At 46.1% G+C, this 21,528-nt stretch overlaps 2 protein-coding genes and 1 long non-coding RNA gene across 3 annotated transcripts, besides 5 other annotated features; 2 read left to right on the top strand and 1 right to left on the bottom strand.

Annotated features, from left to right (window-relative positions):
- Nucleotides 235-971: an enhancer, noted in NCBI's record as "H3K4me1 hESC enhancer chr4:6695136-6695872 (GRCh37/hg19 assembly coordinates)". NCBI's record gives its function as "activates a minimal SCP1, AML or CMV promoter by ChIP-STARR-seq in naive H9 embryonic stem cells {active_cell/tissue: H9 hESC(naive)}" and the evidence as "EXISTENCE:reporter gene assay evidence [ECO:0000049][PMID:30033119]".
- S100P (S100 calcium binding protein P) lies at nt 704-3,996 on the top strand. The gene is made up of 2 exons (NM_005980.3): nt 704-896; nt 3,719-3,996. Exons 1-2 carry the CDS (start codon nt 759-761, stop codon nt 3,866-3,868), a joined length of 288 nt encoding a protein of 95 aa, NP_005971.1. The 5' UTR covers nt 704-758; the 3' UTR covers nt 3,869-3,996.
- Nucleotides 972-1,707: an enhancer, noted in NCBI's record as "H3K4me1 hESC enhancer chr4:6695873-6696608 (GRCh37/hg19 assembly coordinates)". NCBI's record gives its function as "activates a minimal SCP1, AML or CMV promoter by ChIP-STARR-seq in primed H9 embryonic stem cells {active_cell/tissue: H9 hESC(primed)}" and the evidence as "EXISTENCE:reporter gene assay evidence [ECO:0000049][PMID:30033119]".
- Nucleotides 2,910-3,672: an enhancer, noted in NCBI's record as "H3K27ac-H3K4me1 hESC enhancer chr4:6697811-6698573 (GRCh37/hg19 assembly coordinates)". NCBI's record gives its function as "activates a minimal SCP1, AML or CMV promoter by ChIP-STARR-seq in primed H9 embryonic stem cells {active_cell/tissue: H9 hESC(primed)}" and the evidence as "EXISTENCE:reporter gene assay evidence [ECO:0000049][PMID:30033119]".
- A 10,530-nt stretch (nt 3,997-14,526) lies between the features above and the next one.
- On the bottom strand, nt 14,527-16,691 carry MRFAP1L1 (Morf4 family associated protein 1 like 1). Its single transcript, NM_203462.3, has 2 exons — nt 16,057-16,691; nt 14,527-15,469 (listed from the first exon to the last, which is right to left on the bottom strand). The coding sequence occupies exon 1, from the start codon at nt 16,453-16,455 to the stop codon at nt 16,072-16,074; it is 384 nt and encodes a 127-aa protein (NP_982287.1). The 5' UTR covers nt 16,456-16,691; the 3' UTR covers nt 14,527-15,469; nt 16,057-16,071.
- Nucleotides 15,143-16,342: an enhancer, noted in NCBI's record as "BRD4-independent group 4 enhancer chr4:6710044-6711243 (GRCh37/hg19 assembly coordinates)". NCBI's record gives its function as "activates an origin of replication core promoter dependent on BRD2, P300/CBP, MED14 and CDK7 cofactors, and independent of BRD4, by STARR-seq in HCT116 cells {active_cell/tissue: HCT116}" and the evidence as "EXISTENCE:reporter gene assay evidence [ECO:0000049][PMID:35650434]".
- Nucleotides 16,366-16,655: an enhancer, noted in NCBI's record as "active region_21261". NCBI's record gives its function as "activates an Ori minimal core promoter by ATAC-STARR-seq in GM12878 lymphoblastoid cells {active_cell/tissue: GM12878}" and the evidence as "EXISTENCE:reporter gene assay evidence [ECO:0000049][PMID:35858748]".
- Nucleotides 16,761-20,971, top strand: LOC105378240 (uncharacterized). The gene is made up of 3 exons (XR_001741568.3): nt 16,761-16,881; nt 20,637-20,693; nt 20,850-20,971. It is a non-coding gene; the product is annotated as an uncharacterized LOC105378240 (long non-coding RNA).
- Nucleotides 20,972-21,528: the final 557 nt, after the last annotated feature.

Below are 21,528 nucleotides of genomic sequence, written 5' to 3' on the forward strand. Positions count from 1 at the left end.
TCCAATCATATTTCCATACTTCGCTGAACTGTGTTTATGGATAGTTTCCACCAGATCTTTGGATCTTCATCTTGAAGGCTGCCGTGCCACATAAGCTATGATCAAATACATCTGTTATGCTCTTCTCCTATTCATCTGCCTTCTGCCCGTTGATTTTCAGCAAACTCCCAGAGGATGAAGGGGAGTTTTCTGTTTGGCCCCACAGGGGAGGAGCGAGCGAGATTGACGTGGAAGCTGGGCCTCTGAAGGACACAGAGTGCTCTAAGAAAGGGACGATGGGGCAGATCCATGTTCACAAACACGCCCATGTGAATTCACTCTCAGATGTCTCCTCGTGTCAGCACGCTGGGTGCCAGCACGCTCTGATATTGACACAAAGGGCCACGGAGTCACCACTCACTCCACACACACTCACCCCGTGCCCACTTACCCAGGGAGGGCCAGGAATGAGGATGCCACTGTGGCTCAGTGATGGCGCCGAGACACAGGTGAACACTGTAAAATGTGGATGCCTGGAGGCAGCCCACACCCTGGGCCTTGGCTGGGGGAAAGGTTCCAGAAACGTCATCACAACGATGCATTTCATCAGAACTGAGCACATGAATGGGGAGGGGCAGGACTTCCTGAATGTCCCAACCCCACTGTCCCACCCTCTGTGTCAATATGAGGCTGCCTTATAAAGCACCAAGAGGCTGCCAGTGGGACATTTTCTCGGCCCTGCCAGCCCCCAGGAGGAAGGTGGGTCTGAATCTAGCACCATGACGGAACTAGAGACAGCCATGGGCATGATCATAGACGTCTTTTCCCGATATTCGGGCAGCGAGGGCAGCACGCAGACCCTGACCAAGGGGGAGCTCAAGGTGCTGATGGAGAAGGAGCTACCAGGCTTCCTGCAGGTGAGCCAGGCCGGCAGTGCTGGACTCAGCGGGGGCTGGGGAAGAAGGGGAAGGCGTGGCAGGCAGAGGGCTGAGAGCTGCGGTGGGGTCGGCGGTCAAGGGGCTCAGAGGCAAGAGGGACAGATCCTGAAATGCCCTGGAAGCCCAGCCAAGGAACGGACCCACCCTGGCATAAAGGCAGGGGAGGCGGGAGCATCTGAGCAGGGAGAGGGTGTGGTCAGCTTGATCCTTGAAACATGGGGTTGACCCCAGTGTATTTGTGACAGGCCTGGTGGGAGAGTGGGACTCAAACCTGTGCAGTGGGGGCAGGGGCGGAATGCAATCCAGGGCTGCCATTTGCAAGTTTGCCAAGCTTGCCAAGCCCTTGAGCCCTCGGGGCTGTCCTCCAAGGCTGCCGGCCATAAACGCCCCAGCTCTGCCTCCCACTTGCCCGCTTTCCCTGCTCCCATTCCCAGGCCCCTTGTTGCCTGGTATTAGTGGGTCTGGCAGGAAGGACGGGAGGAGGCTCCATCCTGGCACCTGTCTGCGCAGAGCTGTGGACCTCCCTTGGGCTCCCTGCCAGGGAGGAGCCACCGGCCTGAGCCTCACAGAAGGCCCCTCAGGGCGGCCAGGACCAGCTTCCTTCCGCCCGGGGCAGCCTCCGGCTGGGCTGAACAGAAGCCGTACCCTCTCCATTTCCCCTTCCCTTTGACCCCTGTCCTCTCCTTCTTTCTCACTCCCCCACTTTCTTCCTTCCTTCCCCTCCCCTTCGGGCCCCACCAGACTCTGCCTACCTGCTAAGGGGCTAACCCACATAGATGCTGATAATCAAAAATGAAAGCCTGAAATTTTCAGCCCTAGAATCACTTCAAAGACATGAAACACTTCAGAATATTGCTTCTATTTTCTTTTCTTTTCTTTTTTTTTTTTTTTGAGACAAGATGTCACTCTGTCACCCAGGCTGGAGTGCAGTGGCAGGATCACGGCTCACTGCAGCCTCGACCTCCCTGGGCTCAGGTGATCCTCCCACCTCAGCCTACCGAGTAGCTGGGACTACAGGTGCATGTCACCATACCCGGTTAATTTTTGTATTTTTTTTAGAGACAAGGTCTCACCATGTTGCCCAGGCTGGTCTCAAACTCCTGTGCTCAGGCAATGCGTCAGCCTCGACATCTCAAAGTGCTGTGATTACAGGCGTGAGCCCCGACACCTGGCCTAGTTCTATTTTCTAAATGTGAATTCTGTAAAGATATCTTTTAAAAATAAAGTTCTGTTTTTGGTAGAAAATGTAAAAATAGATAAATATGGAGGGAAGAAATCCCCCCTGGAATACAGACGCTTCCTCTCCCTTCCAGCCTTTTCCCCATATGAACATTGCTGTGAGTGAGATTTACATGCAATGTAATTTCTTTTTGAGCTTAACATTACAACATAAATTCTCAAACTCTGATGTTCATTAAACACCCCAGCCCCATCCTGGGAACTTGGGCTTGGGGCTCGGGGTGTTCTGATAATGATCAAAGTATGAGAATTGAACCCATGAGGACTTTGATCCAAGATACTGGGGTGTGGGGAGGGGCAGGCACAGGTGTCCTGGGAACACACTTTGAGAAGCAATGGCAAAGCTGGGGGTCCAGCTAATGTGTTACATTAGAATCACCTCGGGGAGGCCCTGGGTGCCCTTCTCAGCCCTCCCTCCGGAGGCTGCTGAAGCCCAGCAAAGCCGGAGTCAGAGAACAATGTCCGCCTGAGGGCAGGGCTGGGCTGGGCTGGCCTTCTGGCCCTATCTGCTCCGTGCCCAACCCAGCGCCCCGCACAGTCGGAGCTTTGTAAATACGAGGTGACTGTCTGCCTACAAACTTTGTAAACATCACTTGAAATGGCCGCAGGGTATTGTGACATGGCCATACCACTATTTGTTTGCTATTGAATTTGTACTTCCCTGCCTTACTTTTGCTATTGCAAACCATGCTGTCACTAAGGTCTTCATGCACACAGTTGTGTCTTGGTCAGATGATATGTTTCTACCAATTTTAATTGTGTTTCTTTCCACCTGGACACACAGCTCTCTGGCCCAGGGCTGGGTCATCAGCACACCCTGCTGCTGCTGTTCAGATCTGCATCCTGGTCCCGCTTGGTCCCACAGTGAGAACGCTTTGCTATCACATGGGCAGGCTCTGAGAGCCCTGCCGGCCTGGCCTTCTCAAAGAAGACCTGAGAGCTTGGGACCCAAGCAGAGAGGAAGAACAGGGCTCAGGGTGCTTGCTCCATGCTCGCTCCACACCTGGGGCTCAACCCTGGCTTTCCCCGGCTCCCTGTGTGACTTCAGGGCAGGTCCCTTGGGCCCTCTGGGCCTTATCATCTTCATCTGTAACAGGGCGATGCCTCTGCCGTGTCTGGTGGTGTTGAGGAGTTCCTGTTTGTGTAAGCAGCTAGTTCAGTGCCAGCACGAGATGGGAGGCCCATGAAGTTAGCAGTGCACAAAAAATAGAGCAAAGACTGGATGCATTTCCTGAGAACAACCATCACTGTAAAGCACTTTACAAATCCAAAGACAACCCCCGGCAAAAACTCAAAATGAAACTCCCTCTCGCAGAGCACAATTCCAATTCGCTCTAAAAACATTACAAGTTAGTTCATGTCATGCCAGATAGCTGAAGGCAGCTCACAAGTTCTTAAGGCCAGGAATGCCATGTGTCTGCTATGCACAGCTGGCCCTGGCCCTGACAGCAAAGGTGACGCAGATGTGGGTGCCCTGCTCCTGCCCAGCAGCAGTGCTTGGTGGAGGCTGAGGCCCTGCACAGGCACCCTCACTGCTGACCTTGAGCCTCTCTCTCCTCTAGAGTGGAAAAGACAAGGATGCCGTGGATAAATTGCTCAAGGACCTGGACGCCAATGGAGATGCCCAGGTGGACTTCAGTGAGTTCATAGTGTTCGTGGCTGCAATCACGTCTGCCTGTCACAAGTACTTTGAGAAGGCAGGACTCAAATGATGCCCTGGAGATGTCACAGATTCCTGGCAGAGCCATGGTCCCAGGCTTCCCAAAAGTGTTTGTTGGCAATTATTCCCCTAGGCTGAGCCTGCTCATGTACCTCTGATTAATAAATGCTTATGAAATGATCCTGGTCTCAGAGAAACTGGTTATTTCCTTAAAACCTCAGTGTCCTCTCCCCACAAAACAGAATTCACTAATTAAACTTGTCATTTCATTACTCATTGCCTGCCTGCAGTGGTGAGACAGATGAAGAAGACAAGGCAGTCGATAAAAATCCATTTGTTGGCCATCTTCTGAGTGCCCACTGAGACACAGTCCCACCTTTGGCCGTGTGAATGCCACCATGTCCTGGACCCAAGGGAGGCTCGGGTACACACATCCATGTATTTATTCATCTACTTCGTAATTCATTTAGTCGGTCACGTAGCCACTCATTGAACCTGGGCCCCTCCATCTCTCCAAACAGCATGTTTTCTTCAAGTAACATACTTCTAATATTTATTTATTTTTGAGACGGAGTCTCGCTCTTGTCACCCAGGCTGGAATGCAATGGCGCCATCTCAGCTCACTGCAACCTCCGCCTCTTGGGTTCAAGTGATTCTCCTGCCTCAGCCTCCCGAGTACCTGGGACTGCAGGCACCCGCAAAACCACACCTGGCTACTTTTTGTATTTTTAGTAGAGACGGGGTGTCACCATGTTGGCCAGGCTGGTCTCGAACTCCTGATTTCAGGTGATCTGCCCACCTCAACCTCCCAAAGTGCTGGGATTACAGGTGTGAGCCACTGCGCCTCGCAAAGTAACATATCTTTTTTTCTTTTTTTTTTTTTTTGAGACGGAGTCTCACTGTGTTGCCCAGGCTGGAGTGCAATGGTGCGATCTTGGCTCACTGCCAGCTCCGCCTCCCAGGTTCACGCCATTCTCCTGCCTCAACCTCCTGAGTAGCTGGGACTACAGGTGCCCACCACCACGCCCGGCTAATTTTTTGTATTTTTAGTAGAGACAGGGTTTCACCGTGTTAGCCAGGATGGTCTCGATCTCCTGAGCTCGTGATCCACCCACCTCGGCCTCCCAAAGTGCTGGGATTACAGGCTTCAGCCACCACGCCCAGACAGTAACATACTTTTAATGATGCAATGCTATTTTTGCCACAAAGACTATGAAACACCATAACAGAGAAACAATGAATTCCAAGAGAGCATTAGAATCATCAGTGAACAACTGCTCACATCACCTGTATTTAGTTTTACGACACTAATGTTGGGAGCACCCAAAAGGACTCAAGCGAGGTCTTGGATGATAGGTAGGTAACTGGATCTGGTTTTAGGACCCCTATCATTTTTTGGATACCCAGTATTTAAAGCCTCTTGCTATGTTTGAAGACATTTTCACTAGAGAAGATCTATCACCAAAAGATCCTGAACTTGGAGGTGGACACAACAATACGAGGCTTGGGTGGATCCCTCTTTGGGGAAGGGACTGCAGATTGCAAATATTTTTGCTAGAGAGAGAGTCGTGTTAGGTTAGATGGGAGCAGATACACACATTTAAATAAAGTAAAAACTAATAATGAGGGAGAAGTAAAGTTAATAATGGGGGAAACAAAAGGGGTGGACTGCCAGAATGGAAATCTTTGTTTCTTTTTTCCTTTGAGAGACGGCCTTGCCCTGTCACCCAGTCTGGAATGCAGTGGTGCTATCGTGGCTCACTGCAATCTTTTTTTTTTTTTTGAGACGGAGTCTTGCTCTGTCGGCCAGGCTGGAGTGCAGTGGTGTGATCTCAGCTCACTGCAAGCTCCACCTCCCGGGTTCACGCCATTCTCCTGCCTCAGCCTCCCGAGTAGCTGGGACTACAGGTGCCTGCTACCAAGCCTGGCTAATTTTTTGTAATTTTTAGTAGAGACAGGGTTTCACCATTTTAGCCAGGATGGTCTCGAGGCTCACTGCAATCTTAAACTCCTGGGCTGAAGCAATCTTCCTGCCTCAGCCTCCCAAGTAGCTGGGACCACAAGAACGCACCATCGCGGCTGGCTAATTTTTTGTAGAGACGGGGTTTTGCTATATTGCCCAGGTTGGTCTTGAACTCCTGGGCTCAAATGATCCTCCCAACTCAGCCTCCCAAAGTGTAGATGTTAGAGGCGTGAGCCACATGCTCAGCCTGTTTTTCTTTTTTCTTGCTGTTTAACAAATTAGTTACCGTCCTATAAATGACAAACCACCCAGCTTATCAGTTCTGGGGGGAGGCAGAGCCCTCACTCCCCAGCCTCTGTCATAGCTGGGGTGCAGGCACCTGACCTGGGCTCTCCCAGACTTTATTCTCACCCCAGACTTGCAATCGGACAATTGACACAAACAGGCAGAGACCTGAAAAACCTCTTATGGGTTTTGCAGCAGCGCCATATGAGAGGTTTCTGGCTACGTAGCTATGAACCTCGTCCTCCAGGACTCTTGAAGGAGACAAGTCTTTTGTAAATCAATCACCTAGGCTGAATTTCTGTGCTTTGTGACTAAAAACCCAGACTACTGGAGCAGGAAAACAACAGCGTGCCACTTCCTCTGGGTGTCCTTCCTGGGTTATCTCTGACAGGTCTTGGTAATTCCTGACCTCTCCTTATAGAGACAACAGGGCCCATCCCTCCTCAATCTTTCTTTCATCTCTCCTCAATCTTTCATTCATTTCATCCTAGCTTCTTGCCCTGCACCAAATGGTAGATTACGTCTGGTTTGGAATTCAATTCCCTGCCCCAGGAGACCAGCCTCCCATGGTGCTCCATCATTGATTTCTGTTCAGGGTCTTCTGAGCAGCCTGCAGATGCCTCGTTCCTGGAGGTAAAGTCCACAGTCACTTCTCCGGAGTTTATACCAACTCTGCATGAAGCAAAAGCCAGGTCCAAACAGTAGGGTTTGTTGTTGTTGTTGTTTTTTGTTTTTTGTTTTTTTGAGACAGGGTCTCACTCTGTTGCCCAGGCTCAAGTGCAGTGGCATGATCACAGCTCACTACAGTCTTGATCTCCTGGGCTCAAGTGATCCCCCCACCTTAGCCTCCTGAGTAGCTAGTACTACAGGCATGTGCCACCACACCTGGCTAATTGTTTTTTATTTTTTTGTGGAGACAGGGATCTCACTATGTTGCCCAGGCTGATCTGGTACTCCTGAGCTCAAGCGATCTTCTCACCTCAGCTTCCCCAAATGCTGGGATTACAGGTGTGAATCAGTGCACCCAGCCCCTAAACAGTATTTTTTAATGGCTACAAGGAATTTATTGGAATGAGGGTACCATCGTTTGCTCATTGTTAAAGATACTGTTCTTCATATTTTTGTAGAATGTATGTTCCTATTTTTGTTTTTAGAAAGTATGCTACAATTAACATTTTCATGTATAAAGCTTTGTCTTTTGGGGTTTTTTTTTTTTTTGTAAGATGGGGTCTTACCATGTTGCCCCGGCTGGTCTCAAACTCCTGGCCTCAAGTAACACTCTTGCCTTAGCCTCAAAAGTGTTGGGATCACAGGCGTGAGCCACTGTGCGTGGCCAAAGCTTTGTCTTAAGCTCAGATAATTTCTCAAAATCAAATTCCATTTTTTACCTAGGATGACTGGATCAAAGGGTAATTTTTTATTGTGGTGTCAACATAAAATGTACCATCCTAACCATTTCCAAGTGTACAGTTCGGCAGTGTTAGGTATACTCACGTTGTGGTGCAGGTCAGTCTCCAGAACTCTTTCCATCTTGTAAAACCACAACTCTATCCCCACTAAACCCTCACTCTCCCTCTCCTTCTCTGGCCGCTGGTCCTGACGATTCCACTTTGTTTCTATGAATTTGACTCTAGGAACGTCATATGACTGCAATCACACAGGATTTGTCCTTTTGGGACAGGCTTATTTCACTCAGAATCATGTCCTCAACGTTCATCCGTGTTGTAACATGTGTCAGAATTTCTTCCTTTATAAGGCTGAATAGTCCACTACGTGTATACACCAAACTTGCTAATTGCTAATTCATCTTGCTAATTCATCTGCTGATGGACAGTTGGGTTACTGCCAGAATTTTTATTTATTATTATTATTATTATTATTATTATTATTATTATTATTATTATTTTGAGACGGAGTCTCGCTCCTTCGCCCAGGCTGCAGTGCAATGGCGGGATCTCGGCTCACTGCAACCTCTGCCTCCCGGGTTCAAGTGATTCTCCTGCCTCAGCCTCCCGAGTAGCTGGGATTACAGGCGCCCGCCACCACACCCGGCTAATTTTAGTATTTTTAGTAGAGACGGAGTTTCACCATATTGGCCAGGCTTGTCTCAAACCCCTGACCTCAGCTGATCCGCCCGCCTCAGCCTCCCAAAGTGCTGGGATTACCGGCGTGAGCCACCGCGCCCGGCCTATAATTCTTTTTTAAACAAAACATTTAACCAAGTGTTTCTCCACTGCCCTGCTTGGAAACCAATAGGCAGCCAGTCTCCTTTGTGATGCTTTCCTGTAGGAGCGGCAGCCACCTGAGGCTCTCCTGGCTCTTGGGCTCTCGCAAGCGCCCCCTGCAGCTGCTTTGCAGAATTGCTCCTCGGGCTAAGCTCCCTCGGTTACCTAGCCAGCGCATTTCCACCCCTCCAGAATGTCAGATGTTTGGGTGCTGGGATTGCCATGGCCTACCTAACTGCTCAACAAGCACAATTCTTTTTTTCTTTTTTTTTGAGACCGAATCTCACTCTGCAGCCCAAGCTGGTGTGCAGTGGCGCAATCTCGGCTCACCGCAACCTCTACCTCCAGGTTCAAACGATTCTCCTGCCTCAGCCTCCAGAGTAGCTGGGACTACAGGTGCCCGCCAGCACACCCTGCTAATTTTTTGTATTTTAGTAGAGACGGGTTTCACCATGTTGCCCAGGGTGGTCTCGAACTCAACTCCTGAGCTCAGGCTATCCGCCTGCCTCAGCCTCCCAAACCGCTGGGATTACAGGTGTGGGCCACCACGCCTGGCCAACAATTCTGAATTAAAATTTGAAACGTACAGAAATAACAAACTTACGGAAAAGTTAGAAGTACAGTACAAATAACTATTTTTCTGAATGATTTAAGAATAAGCTGATGCACCACCCCTCAATGCATTAGTGGAGAGAATCCTCCACAGAAGATTCTCCTAATAACCACAATGCCACCATCAAAGTGAGAAAATTAACACTGATACATCACTACCATTGAATCTTAAGCCCTCATTCAAGTTTGCCAATTGTTCTATGTCTTTTTTTTTTTTTTTGCGATGGAGTCTCACTCTGTTGCCAAACTGGAGTGCATTGGCGTGATCTCAGCTCACTGCAACCTCCGCCTCCCAGGTTCAAGCGATTCTCCTGCCTCAGCCTCCTGGGTAGCTGGGATTACAGGCATCCACCACCATGCCCGGCTAATTTTTGTATTTTTAGTAGAGATGGGGTTTCACTATGTTGGCCAGGCTGGTCTCCAACTCCTGACCTCAAGTGATCTGTCTGCCTCAGCCTCCCACAGTGCTAGGATTACAGGTGTAAGCCACCAGGCCTGGCCACTTTTTAATAAGTATTTTTAGAGAGGAATTTTGAAACTATGTATATATTCTGTTCCTCATCAAGCATTTAATTTATTCATGTATTCACATTTGTGAACTCCTGGTTACCCATATTATTCAGTGGGTTGTAACCTGTTACTAGCATTATCTGTTCTGATGCTCACATTGTCCCTGATCTGATCAATGGGAGCCCATTTCAGCTGGCTTCTATTACCCTCTGACATGTTCTCAACATTCTCTGAACACATCCTTGCCTTCTGTCATCACAAGATGTTCTAGACACATTTCGTACTTTGCTTGCCCTAGCTCTGGAACTGGCCATTTCTCCAAGCAGCCCTAGTTTCTTGTAATGGAAAATGCTATTTAGAAGCCAAGATCTGGGAGCTAGGTGTGCTCATTGTTATTGAAGTGTCACTGCCCCCAGCCTCTCTTAATGGAAATAAGTAGAGAATATTTGTAAGTATAATACATAACTTTAGATGGCTACACATACCTATAGTTCTATATCTTATAGATATCTGAAGTGTGTGTGTGTTTGTATGTTTGTAACCACAAGTTCACACAGAGACTTCCATTCAAGTTCACACAGAGACTTCCATTTTCAACATAATACCACAGGGTCCATTCTAGCTTTCTTTTTACATTTCTTCCCCTCTGCTGGTACCTGGTCTCCTGCAGAAACCTTTTCCCTGCTCAGGTTCTGAACCCCATACCAGTCTGTCCCCTGCACAGACACCCTCCTTGCCTTTCAGGCTGAGTCAGGTGAAGGACTGGCTTCTATGGATGCCCATCTCTCCCTGCTCAAACTGCACCAACTGTCCCCATGTGTGCATGCTCTCTTCATCCCACGGGGCTCATGCCCCAGAACACCCCCTTGGGAACTCCCTCCTCACCCTGCCTGGGCTCTGACCTCCCAGGCTAGATTTCCCTTCCCCCAAACCTACCCACAAATGGATGTCCTGCTCACACTGCTCAAATCTGGTCTGTCCACACTGGAGACCATCCACTGCCAAAATAAATAAATAAATAAATAAATAAATAAATAAATATAAAAATAAAAAAAAAGCAAAACCATACACACACAGATACCCTCTTCACCCTGCTCAGAGGACTCTGACTCCCACACCAGGCTCTGACCCCCTCTACTTCCCACCATGGGGATGCCTTCTCTACCATTCTTGAGCTCTGAGCCCTGATCTGGGCACCATGGCTTCCCACTCCCCAACCAGGACACCTACATCATTATGTGTGTGTGTATCCTGTCAATCTTCATTATTCATTATTTTGTATTTGCAAATTCATCTACTTTCTAAAATCTATATGGAACCCCAAAATCAACACTCTTGGCACTTTGCTAGTCATTTGTAGACACGTGCAGGGCAGCAAAAAATCTGAGTCATCTGACATTCCCAGTTGGGGTCAAACAAGGTGACTCTGCCTTCTTGTTTCAGCTCTCATGCTGTAAACAAGTTCCTTTTCACAGTCTACTCGGTGCCACATTTTTCTCATTTTGGTGCTTTTTGTTGGTTATTTTGCTGTTTAAAATGACCCTCAAGTCTCATGCCAGAGCACTGTCTAGTGTGCCTAAGCATAAGGCGGCTGTGATGTGCCTTACAGAGAAAATATGTGTTAGACAAGCTTTATTGAGGCATGAGTTACAGTGCTGCTGGCTTTGAGTTCAAAATTAATGAATCAATAATATATGTTAATTATGATGTCTTTAAACAGAAACACAAGGTTAAACATGGTTACGTATGGATCAGCTGATGAAAAATGCAGCCAGGGGCTAATGGGAACCTAATCCTCTATTTTACTTAGGGGCAGTGAAGTATTATAGTATTTGCTAATTCAGTGTTTATGGTGACTTTATATAACTACTGCAAATAATGACAACTGACTGTAAACAAACATAGACATGGCACATTTTAAAGAAATTGCAACTGCCTAACACATTGCAGCCCTGAACGCACGTCAGTATCCATATTCTCTGTGGCTTCACCCAGAAAGCTGATAGTGTTTAGGGGAGTTGCACGTGGAGGCTGTAGAGGTTGGGGTTCAGAGACAGCCAGACCTTGGATGAGGTAGGTATTAGAGGAAATTTGCAAAGAGGTGGAAGACAAGTCATGAGGCAGGAAAGTTGGAACATTCTGAAGATGAAAATTTGGGAGAGGACCAGGGAGGGCGTTTAAATTTAGGGTGACTGAGGAAAACTAGGATGAGACAGCTCTGGAGATGGCAGAAATTCTTGAATATATTCTACTACATATGTTGAATACATGAAATAGCTTTAGCACTTATTTATCTTGCTTATTGTGTTTCTCCACCACTAGAATGAATCCCCAGAAGGCAGAATTTTTGGACTATCTGTTCAGTACTGTATCTCTCAGTAGTTAGAACAGTGCCTGGTATATAGTAGGAGCTAAGTTAATGCTGATGAATAAATAAAAACATCTGTGGCAAAAAAAAATTTTTTTAAGAGTTTCAAGCAGGGAATTGACATAACCTAATTCACTCTAGCTAATTTGTGAAGGAGGAGGATTGGAATAAAACTGAAAGCTGGGAGGCCAGTTAGGAGACTGTCACACTAGTGGCTTGGAGTAGGAAGGAAGGTAGATGAATCCAAGGTGTATTCTAGGCAGAACCAACAAACTAGTGGTAGAAGGAATGGAGAGGGGATTGCTGAGGAGGGGTGTCAAGAATGACACTGAAGTTTCAGGCTCAGAAAATTCACCTGAGTTATGTGCATTGGTAGCAGACACAATTAAGTTAATTTACATACTTAATTGGCACTTATTCATTCAATGAGTATTAGATACCAACCAGGTGCCAGGCACTGGTCTAAGTGCTAGGAATTCAGCAGTGAATAAAGTCCCTGCCCTCAAGGGGCTGACATTCTACAGAGAAGTCAGAAAATGCACAAATAATCACACACTAAGTAGTGAAAAGAAAAATGTAAGAAGACAGAGAGTAATAGGGGATGGCCGTGCTATTTTAAAAAGAGTGGCATGGGAAGACCTCTCTGGTATTGTAACATCTGAGCAGAGACTGGAAAAGTGGCATAGTGAGCCATATGGATATTGCACATTAAAAACATTTTCAGAAAAAACAAAACTCTGGGATAAAGCAGTCAAACAAAACATTATTGAAGACTCAGCCATCACTAGCCAGCTGATGCAAGTGAAGGTTAAAGAATTTGCCCAGTCTTTCGGAAGAAAGCACAGAATTTCAGATTTTAGAGCAAGGGGAGTTTGGGCGTGAATGACTCACACAAGACAGACCAATGACTTTCAGAGCTACTAACAGAAGCCAATCCAAATTTTCTAGATGACTTTGAAGTTGTTAAAATTCCACTGACACATCATTCAATGAAAAGAAAATGTGTAAGTTAAATAGGAAATAGAGACAAAACTCTCAATGTATCTAAATTATTTTTTCATCACAGCATGGGTTAAGACAATTAGCCTGTCACTACAATGCTCTGCCTAAGAGCCAAGGCTCAAAAATGATTCAGAACACTCTTTAGGCTGTAAATTTGAAGGAGGCTTAGGAAAAAAAAAAAAAAAAACCCTAGGATACTGAAGAGATGAAATGCAATCCTATGTATGAATATAATCTATGGTCAGTTAATCGAGGGGAAAAACATACATATACATAGTATATATGCACACGTGTATGTATGTAGCACATATATAGTATGTGTGTGTGTCTACGAGTGTGTATGTACAGGACTCAGATTTTTCACCCCCAAAGCATGTTTTTAAATCCGTCAGGTAACTTGTAAATAACAGCTTTCGCAATCAAGATCCACAATATCCCAAAGAGCAGCTGCTCCTTCAGCCAGCTCCTAGAATTAAGAGAATATGGAACAACTCACCTACAATGTATTAATACATCAATATGAATAAGAAAAAAAAATCCTCAGGTGTTGCAAGCCACTAAGGTTTTGGGGTGAACTGTTACAGCAGTTTAGTCTAGTTGACTGATATAGAAAGACCCCAAGTCTTGGCTCCAGAAAAGCCTAGCTGGTCCTTCCCACTCATTCTGCCCCAGTTCAGGCCCTCACTTCCCATCTCTACTTCTGCACCTGCCCCTATCTTCTAGCCCACACTCAAACTCACATTAATCCATACCCAGTCTTGGGTAATCTTCCTAAACTACAAATGTGACGGTCATTCTCCTGATTATCAGAAATTATGGCTCCCCAGCCATACTTCTCGTTTTTACTGAAGAACCCAGACAGGCAGGCACATGAGCAAGGATCTTAGATATCATGACAAAGCCAGAAACAGCTTCTGTAATTTTTCTGTGCTCAGGTACTTGATTTTTAAAATGCCTATTTTACACATTAATCCAAAACGTGTATCTGAGCTTGTTATGATCATGTATCTATTTTTATGAAATTAGATTTAGTAATTCTGGAAATTGTACCATGCCTACACTATGGCTCTGAGCATCCATTAGCACTCTGTGAAGAAACATTCCAGGGTGAAGAAATCTCACTGAAGTACAGGCTTATGAATCGATGAATTAACACCTTAAGGAAGACCTCTTGGCCCTGCCTGCCAATTTCACTCTGTCTCCCACAACCCCCTCCACACTCCTTAACATCCAGCTCAATGGCCATCTCCCCAGTGCTGGAACTGGAAAGGCTTTTGCTCACTTTGATCCCTGTCCCTTATATGCCTTCATTCATTTCTACTTTTCAGGTCCAGGTAAGTCACCTGCTCTGAATTCACACTTCCCTACGAAGAGTTGACTCCCTCCTCAGGGATCCCACAAGATATCCACGCACTCTATGTCACAATTCCTTGTTTCCATTTCTGTCCCACATATTCGCCCCATCCATGTCTTCACCTTTACGTTCCTAGTGCCTTGGATAGGATATGAAGCAAGTTACATTCCCACTGGTTAACTAAACACACTTCCGCTGCTGAAAAGCAGGGGCTTGGCCCAGAGGATGGCCGAAAGTTTTTCTCTTCAGAACTGAGTGTTCTGTCAGCTCATCTCCATAGCACCTTCCAGAAATAATTCTCCCTCAGTTAAAGGCTTACCAAGAGCCTTTAACTACAAGCAGTTCAACCCCATTTGATGACACTCAATGAAGAACATCCATTCCAAAAAAATTTGTTTATGATTCTTTTATTAACACACACAGGAGGGGCTTTGGTCATGTGAACAAAAAATTTATTTCTTAAAAAAGGCTTTTTAGGTCTTTGTTTTTCAAGGCAAATTAACACTTATTATACTTTTGACTTTGACCTCCAATCTGACAGGTCTACTACCCTGATGAACTGGAAGAGACTTTCCAGGCCCTGATAATGTCTTTTCCTTTCTCCGGCCTCTTAAAGCTCTCTGTAGACTGTCTCTTCCATGCCATTCTCTGATGCCCCTATAATGTGTGAGGGTATTACAATAGTCCCTATTCAAACTGCCTTGTCATAAAAGGTCAGCTATGTTGTCTAAATCAACTCACCTGACAGGTTACACAATATATATCAGACAATGTGCCACAAAACATAGCTCTCCTCTTTCGTCTCACAGAGGAACTAAAGTTCCAAAATATATACAAAACCATCTTCCATCTCCAACTGTCTTCTCTTTCTTCCCAGTTTTATGCAAAGCAGTCTCATTAATACATTCTTCACCAGGCTCAACCAAGTAGCGTAGTGTCTTCCATTGCACCTCTAAAGTTGGAAGATTCTGATCCCACGTCTTGACGTGTTCCAAAAAACAATCAGGTCACAAAGGTAACAGCAAAATACGAGGCCATGCCCAACATTTCAAAAACACAGCGAAGTAACAAGAATAAACGTGACCACAAAAACAACTTAATTAAGCCCCATTTCTCTTCTGAGAGTATTTCTTTGACAAAAGTTATATTTCCAAAACCAAACACATTTGATAATCTAAATCCATATCGAGGTCATCAATCACTGACCATAAGGGAGACTGTTACATCGGGGTAAAAAACATACAAAAACAAAACAGAGAAAATGACAAGCTGTTTCAGTTTCCTCAAGGTGTCAGTTCATCCTTACCAGTTGACTACAGTCCTCAGCTGTGAACCTAAAGCACAATTGGGAGAAATTTACCATGAAGACATTGACTCTCAAAGTTCCATATCCTGATGTTAAAAATAAATGTGAACCACCCAGAAGAATGCCACTTCTTTGAGACACGGTCCTCTGACATACCTGTCTCATAGAACAATCTGGAAATTTCAGGTAATGGCCTCTGGCTTTACTCTTTATTTCTCCTTCCCTGCGTTCTCAGCCTGCGTTCCACTGTGCTCTATGGCCTAGGTCTTCTTTGGCTTTCCCCAAACTCCCTTAGTGCCTAGACAGGTCTACTTCTGGCGACTGCCCTATTAGAATTGACTTTTATGTTTCACAAAAACAAAACCGAAGTTACTGTTATCTTTCTCTAATTAACAGCGTGGGAGGGAGAGGCCACAAAAAAACGGTATACTAACGCCTAACAAAACCAGCACGCATTCTTTCCTCTTGACCCCAACTTTGTTCCCAATGCTCAATTTTTGATGCAATAAAATGGGGGATGCAGGCCTAGAACATAACTTTTTACAGGGCGCGGTTTAACCATGCTTAGGGCGACTACTGAGTTTCATCCAAGCTCCAGCTAGTTTCCGACCTTACCACCGATCTCCTCCTTCAAGAAGACTCGCTTCTCTCTATTCGCCAGACGAGCTCGACCAGCATCTCTGCCATCTTCGCAATCTCCTTGGCTTTCTCCTCAGCCTTCTCGCACAACTCCGACACTCTCTCGTCGGCTTCGCCACTCGGGTGCTGCACGTGATTGAGGGCGCTCTCCTCCGAGGCCTCCACCTGCGTTTTGATCTGGATAAGCATATTGTCCATCTCCCACAGCTTGCTCCTGGTCCGCAGGTACGCCCGCCCGTGCTCGCGTATAAGAGACGCGATGTCCTCGCGCATCTCGTTGATGACCGGGAGCAGGAACTGCTCGAAATCCTCCTCGGGCTCCAGCACCTCCACTTCCTCAGGCGCTTCCACCTCGTCTATGTCCAGGGGCCGCATCTCCTCCTGCCGCTTCCTCAGTACCGCAGTAGGGGCGTTCTTCTCACCGGAACCCTCCAAGAACTGGAGATCAGCAGTTACTGCTGGAGGCTGAGCGACCCACACGCTTTGTCAATTGTACTCCCGAATTATCTTTATTTTTTTTTCTTCCTTTTAATTGTAAGCCTTTCGCTTCACAACTCTGCGGGAAGAATCGCCGTGGATGCACACAAATAAGCGGCCTACAAAATGGAGTCGCAGCCGTCAACTCGCCCTCGGCCTTTTTGCGGCCCTTTCACGACAGAGCCGGGCCCCTTTACGGTCACGCCTTCGGCAAGACCAGGTAGCGGGCGCGTGCACGTAAAGGGGCCTCGGGCGCGCGCACGTCCATCACCAGCTGCTTCCCGGCGCCCCTCCTCGCCCTCTAATTTAGATCGGTGGCGGCAGGTTTGTTCGCGTCTTCATCTAAAGCTTCCCTTCAGCGGGCTTTTACTTTTATTATTTTTTAAAAGTAAAAGTGACCCTCCCTTCCCTATATTTGAATAAGACTGGCTGGCGTTCACAGCGCTTACTATCTAAGCATGCACAAGCTTGAATTAACTTATATGAATTCATTTAGCCCTCACAACGAACCTAGAGGTAAAAACCGTGCTAAAAGTCGTGATTTGAGCCCAGAGCAATGTGGGTCCACAGTCCCTGCTCACTGTTTTAGAATGGAACACGTCCTTCTGTCCTCCCCACCCCTGGCTCATACTTTTGTCCTGGGGGGAAATTCTCTCGCTGCCTTGGGTGATTCTGGCCGGTGGTTTTTGGTCTCTCTTCGCCAGTCTGTAAGGTCCTCAAGGTAAAGGGCTACTTCTGTTTCAGTTCTGTCCTCCGCCCCTCCTGTCAGCCTGGCGTCAAGCAGGGTCTTAGGGGATGCTTTAGAGAGAGGAATTCTTCTCTAGTACATAAGTGCTTCTACCAGACTGGAGGCTGTTTGGGGACAGGTTCTGGTCTTGATCACCTTTATGTCCCTCCACACACAGGACCTGAAAATCAGCAGGGACCTAGTAAATGTGGCTTTGATGGTCAGTACATTTTGATCACTAACCTAATGCCATTGTGGAATGGAGGAAGTCTGTTGCTAGGCTTAGCCACCCAGTGCCACACTAGTAGTAATATGAGTGTGTGTAGAGGGGGCATCCTTCTTAACACAAGTGCCACAGATCAGAGCTTCAGTTTTCCAGTCTGATAAAGACCAATGGCCCCAGCCTGAATATCTGTCAGTGGGAAGAGGGATTTGTAAGATGACATGCGTGAAACAGTTTTGCAAACACCAACATTCTAGCAGATGTTCATCAAAAAAACATGAAGAGGGAAAGAGCAAGACACCGTGAAAAAAGATATTTTCAATAGTTATACTGACAAAGGACTCATATGCAGAATATATTGAGAACTCCTACAGATCAAGAAGGAAAAGACAAAATTTTTAAATGGGCAAAAGACGTAGGCTGGTACTTAACAAAAGAGAATATTCAAATGGCTAATAAGTATATGAAAAGGTGTTCAACGTCATGATTCAACAGGGAAATGCAGATGAAAACCACAATGAGGAAGCACTGTACATCCACTAGAATGACTAAAATTTCAAATACAATACCAAGTGTTGGGGAAGATGTGGAACAACTGGAACTCTTATACATTCTTGATGGATGTCTTAGTCTACTCTGGACACCATAACAAAATACTATAGACTGGTTGGCTTAAAAACAGACATTTATCTTCTCACAGTTCTGGAGGCCAGAAGTCCACGATTAAGGTGTCAGCAAATTTGGTTTCTGGAGGTGAGGGCTCTCTTCCTCAATTGCAGATGACCACCTTCCTGCTGCAGTCCTCACATGATCTCTTCTTTGTGCATGCAGTGTTGGGGGGTACAGGAAAGAGTGCTCTCTTGTGTCTCTTCTTATAAGAACATGAAGCTATAGGATCATGCCCCCACTTTTATGACCTTATTTAACCTTACTTACTGCTTTACTCCAAGTACAGCCACACTGGGGGTTAGGGCTTCAACATAAAAAAATATTGGGGGACACATATATTCAGCACATAATAATGGGAATGTAAGTTGTTACAATAATTTTGGAAAACTATTTGGCAGTATCAACCAAGATTAAACATATACCAATCCTATGTTCTAGCAAACTGACACCTTGTTATACACTCAAGAGAGTTTGAGTGCAATTGTTTATAAAAATACATATACGAGAATATTCACAGCAACTTTATTATAATAGCCCCAAAGTTAACCCAAATGTTCATCAGCAGGAGAATAAATAAATAAAATGAATAAATAGTAGCATATTCCTTCAGTGGTTTATTATTGCATAACCAGTTAACCCAAAATTTGGCAGCTTTAAAACATTTATTATCTGTCATAGTGCATTTAGGCTGCTCTAACAAAATGCCATAAGGTGGGCAGCTTACAAAAGAAATTTATTTCTCACAGTTCTGGGGGATGGGAAGTCCAAGATCAAAGTGCTAGTAGATTCTGTCTGGTGAGGGCTAGTATTTTGGTTCATAAACCGTTCCTTCTTGCTGTGTCCTCACAGGATGGAAGGAGCAAGGGGTCTCTCTTATGCATCCTTTTTTTTTTTTCTTTTGGAGATTGAGTTTCACTCTTGTCGCCCAGGCTGGAGTGCAGTGACACAATCTCTGCTCACTGAAACCTCTGCCTCCCGGGTTCAAGCGATTCTCCTGCCTCAGCCTCCTGAGTAGCTGGGATTACAGGTGCCTGTCATCACGCCTGGCTAATTTTTGTATTATTAGTAGAGATGGGGTTTCACTATGTTGGCCAAGCTGGTCTTGAACTCCTGACCTCAGGTGATCTACCCGCCACAGCCTCCCAAAGTGCTGGGATTACAGGCATGAGCCACCGTGCCCGGCCCTCTTATACATCTTTTGTGTATTTACTTGTAGACAAAGTCTTGCTCTTTTGCACAGGCTAAAGTGCAGTGGAATGAGCATAGCTCACTGTTTCAAACTCCTGAGCTCAAGTGATCCTCCAGCCTCCACCTCCTGAGTAGCTGGGGCTACAGGCACATGGCACCACACCCAGCTTTAAAAAAAATTTTTTTTAGAGACGGGGGTCTTGCTATGTTGCCCAGGCTGGTCTCAAACTCTTAGCCTCAAACAATTCTCCTGCCTCTTCCTCCCAAAGTGTTGGGATTACAGGCATGAGCCACTGCAGCTGGCCTTATATCCTTTATAAGGGTACTAGTCACATTCATGAGGGCTCTGACCCCATGACCAGATCACTTCCCAAAGGCCCCATCTCCTGATATCATCACTGTGTTAGGCTGTTCTCACATTGCTATAAAGGAATATCTGAGACCGGGTAATTTGTGAAGAAAAAAGGCTTAATTGGCTAAGGGTTCTGCAGGCTCTACAGGAAGCAGGGTGCTGGCATCTGCTTGGTTTGTGGGGAGGCCTCAGGAAACTTACAATCATGGCGGAAAGCAAAAGGAGAGCAGGCATGTCACATGACCAAAGCAGGAGCAAGAGGTGACAGGAGGTGCCACACACTTTAAATGACTAGATCTCACGAGAACTCACTCATCACAGGAACAGCACAAACGGGATGGCGCTAAACCATTCATGAGAAATCTGTCCCCATGACCCAGTCACCTCCCACCAGGCTCCAGCTCCAACACTGGAGATTACATTTCAACATGAGATTTGGGCAGGACATCCAAACCCTATCAATCACCTTCTGGGGTAGAATTTAAATATATGAATTTGGATGTGAGGACACAAATATTCAGACCATAGCATTATCTTATGTCATTTCAGTTTAGTATCTTACATGAGGTTGCAGTCAACCTATCAGCTGGGGCTGCAGTCATTTCTGAGTTTGAATGAGGATGGAGCATCCCCTTCCAGGATGACTTACTCATGTAGTTGTTGGAAAGAGGCTGTTTTTCCCTAGCTGTTGGTCTCAGTTCTTTGCTATATGGGCTTCTCCATGGAGCTGCTCACAACAAGGCAGCTGGTTTCCCCAGAGCAAGTGGTTTGTGAACCCCCAATATCTGAGACAGGTCTCAGTTCATTTAGAAAGTTTATTTTGCCGAGGTTGAGGATGTGTGCCCGTGACACAGCCTCAGGAGGTCCTGATGACATGTGTCCAAGGTGGTCAGAGCACAGCTTGGTTTTATACATTTTAGGGAGACATGAGACATCGATCAACATATCTAAGATGAACGATGGATTGGTCCGGAAAGGTGAGACAACTCAAAGCAAAGGCAGGACAACTTGAAGCGGGGAGGGGGCTTCCAGGTCTTGGGTAGATGAGAGAAAAATGGTTGCATTCTATTGAGTTTCTTTTTTTCTTTCTTTCTTTTAAAATTTTATTTATTTATTTATTTATTTATTTTGAGATGGAGTCTCACCCTGTCGCCCAGGCTGGAGAGCAGTGGCGTGATCTCGGCTCACTGCAACCTGCGCCTCCCAGGTCCAAGCAATTCTTCTGCCTCAGTCTCCCAAGTAGCTGGGATTACAGGTGTGTACGACCACAACCGGCTAATTTTTGTATTTTTAAAAGAGGGTTTCACCATGTTGGCCAGGCTGGTCTTGTACTCGTGATCTCAAATGATCCACCCACCTCAGCCTCCCAAAGTGCTGGGATTACAGGCGTAAGCCACCGCGCCCAGACATTTTGAGTCTCTGATTAGCCTCTCCAAAGGTGGCAATCAGATACGCATTTATCTCAGTGAGCGGAGAAGTGACTGTGAATAGAATGTGAGGCAGGTTTGCCCTAAGCAGTTTCCAACTTGACTTTTCTTTTAGCTTAGTAATTGTAGGACCCCAAGATTTATCTTCCTTTCGCAGGTTGGAAGGAAAGAGATGCCACACTACCTTTCATGAACTAATGTCCAAATCATACATCATCACTTCTGTGTTTTTCAGTTTATTATGAGCAAATGAAGTCACTAAGTCCAGTACATACTCGACAAGAGGGAATACACAAGAGTGAGAATACCAGGAGTAAGAAATCACTGGGAGTCATCTTGAAGGCTGGCTAGCAATCACAGTTTGCCCCCTGACTACCAATTCTTC

Source organism: Homo sapiens, chromosome 4 (genome assembly GCF_000001405.40).
Source record: "Homo sapiens chromosome 4, GRCh38.p14 Primary Assembly".
Lineage (NCBI taxonomy): Eukaryota > Metazoa > Chordata > Mammalia > Primates > Hominidae > Homo > Homo sapiens.

Bases quoted from the DNA above. Each gene is read 5' to 3' on its own strand.
- S100P (NM_005980.3), top strand. From the start codon at position 759: ATGACGGAACTAGAGACAGCCATGGGCATGATCATAGACGTCTTTTCC. The intron at 897-3,718 runs GTGAGCCAGGCC...TCTCTCCTCTAG, and splicing joins AGCTACCAGGCTTCCTGCAG to AGTGGAAAAGACAAGGATGC.
- MRFAP1L1 (NM_203462.3), bottom strand. From the start codon at position 16,455: ATGCGGCCCCTGGACATAGACGAGGTGGAAGCGCCTGAGGAAGTGGAG.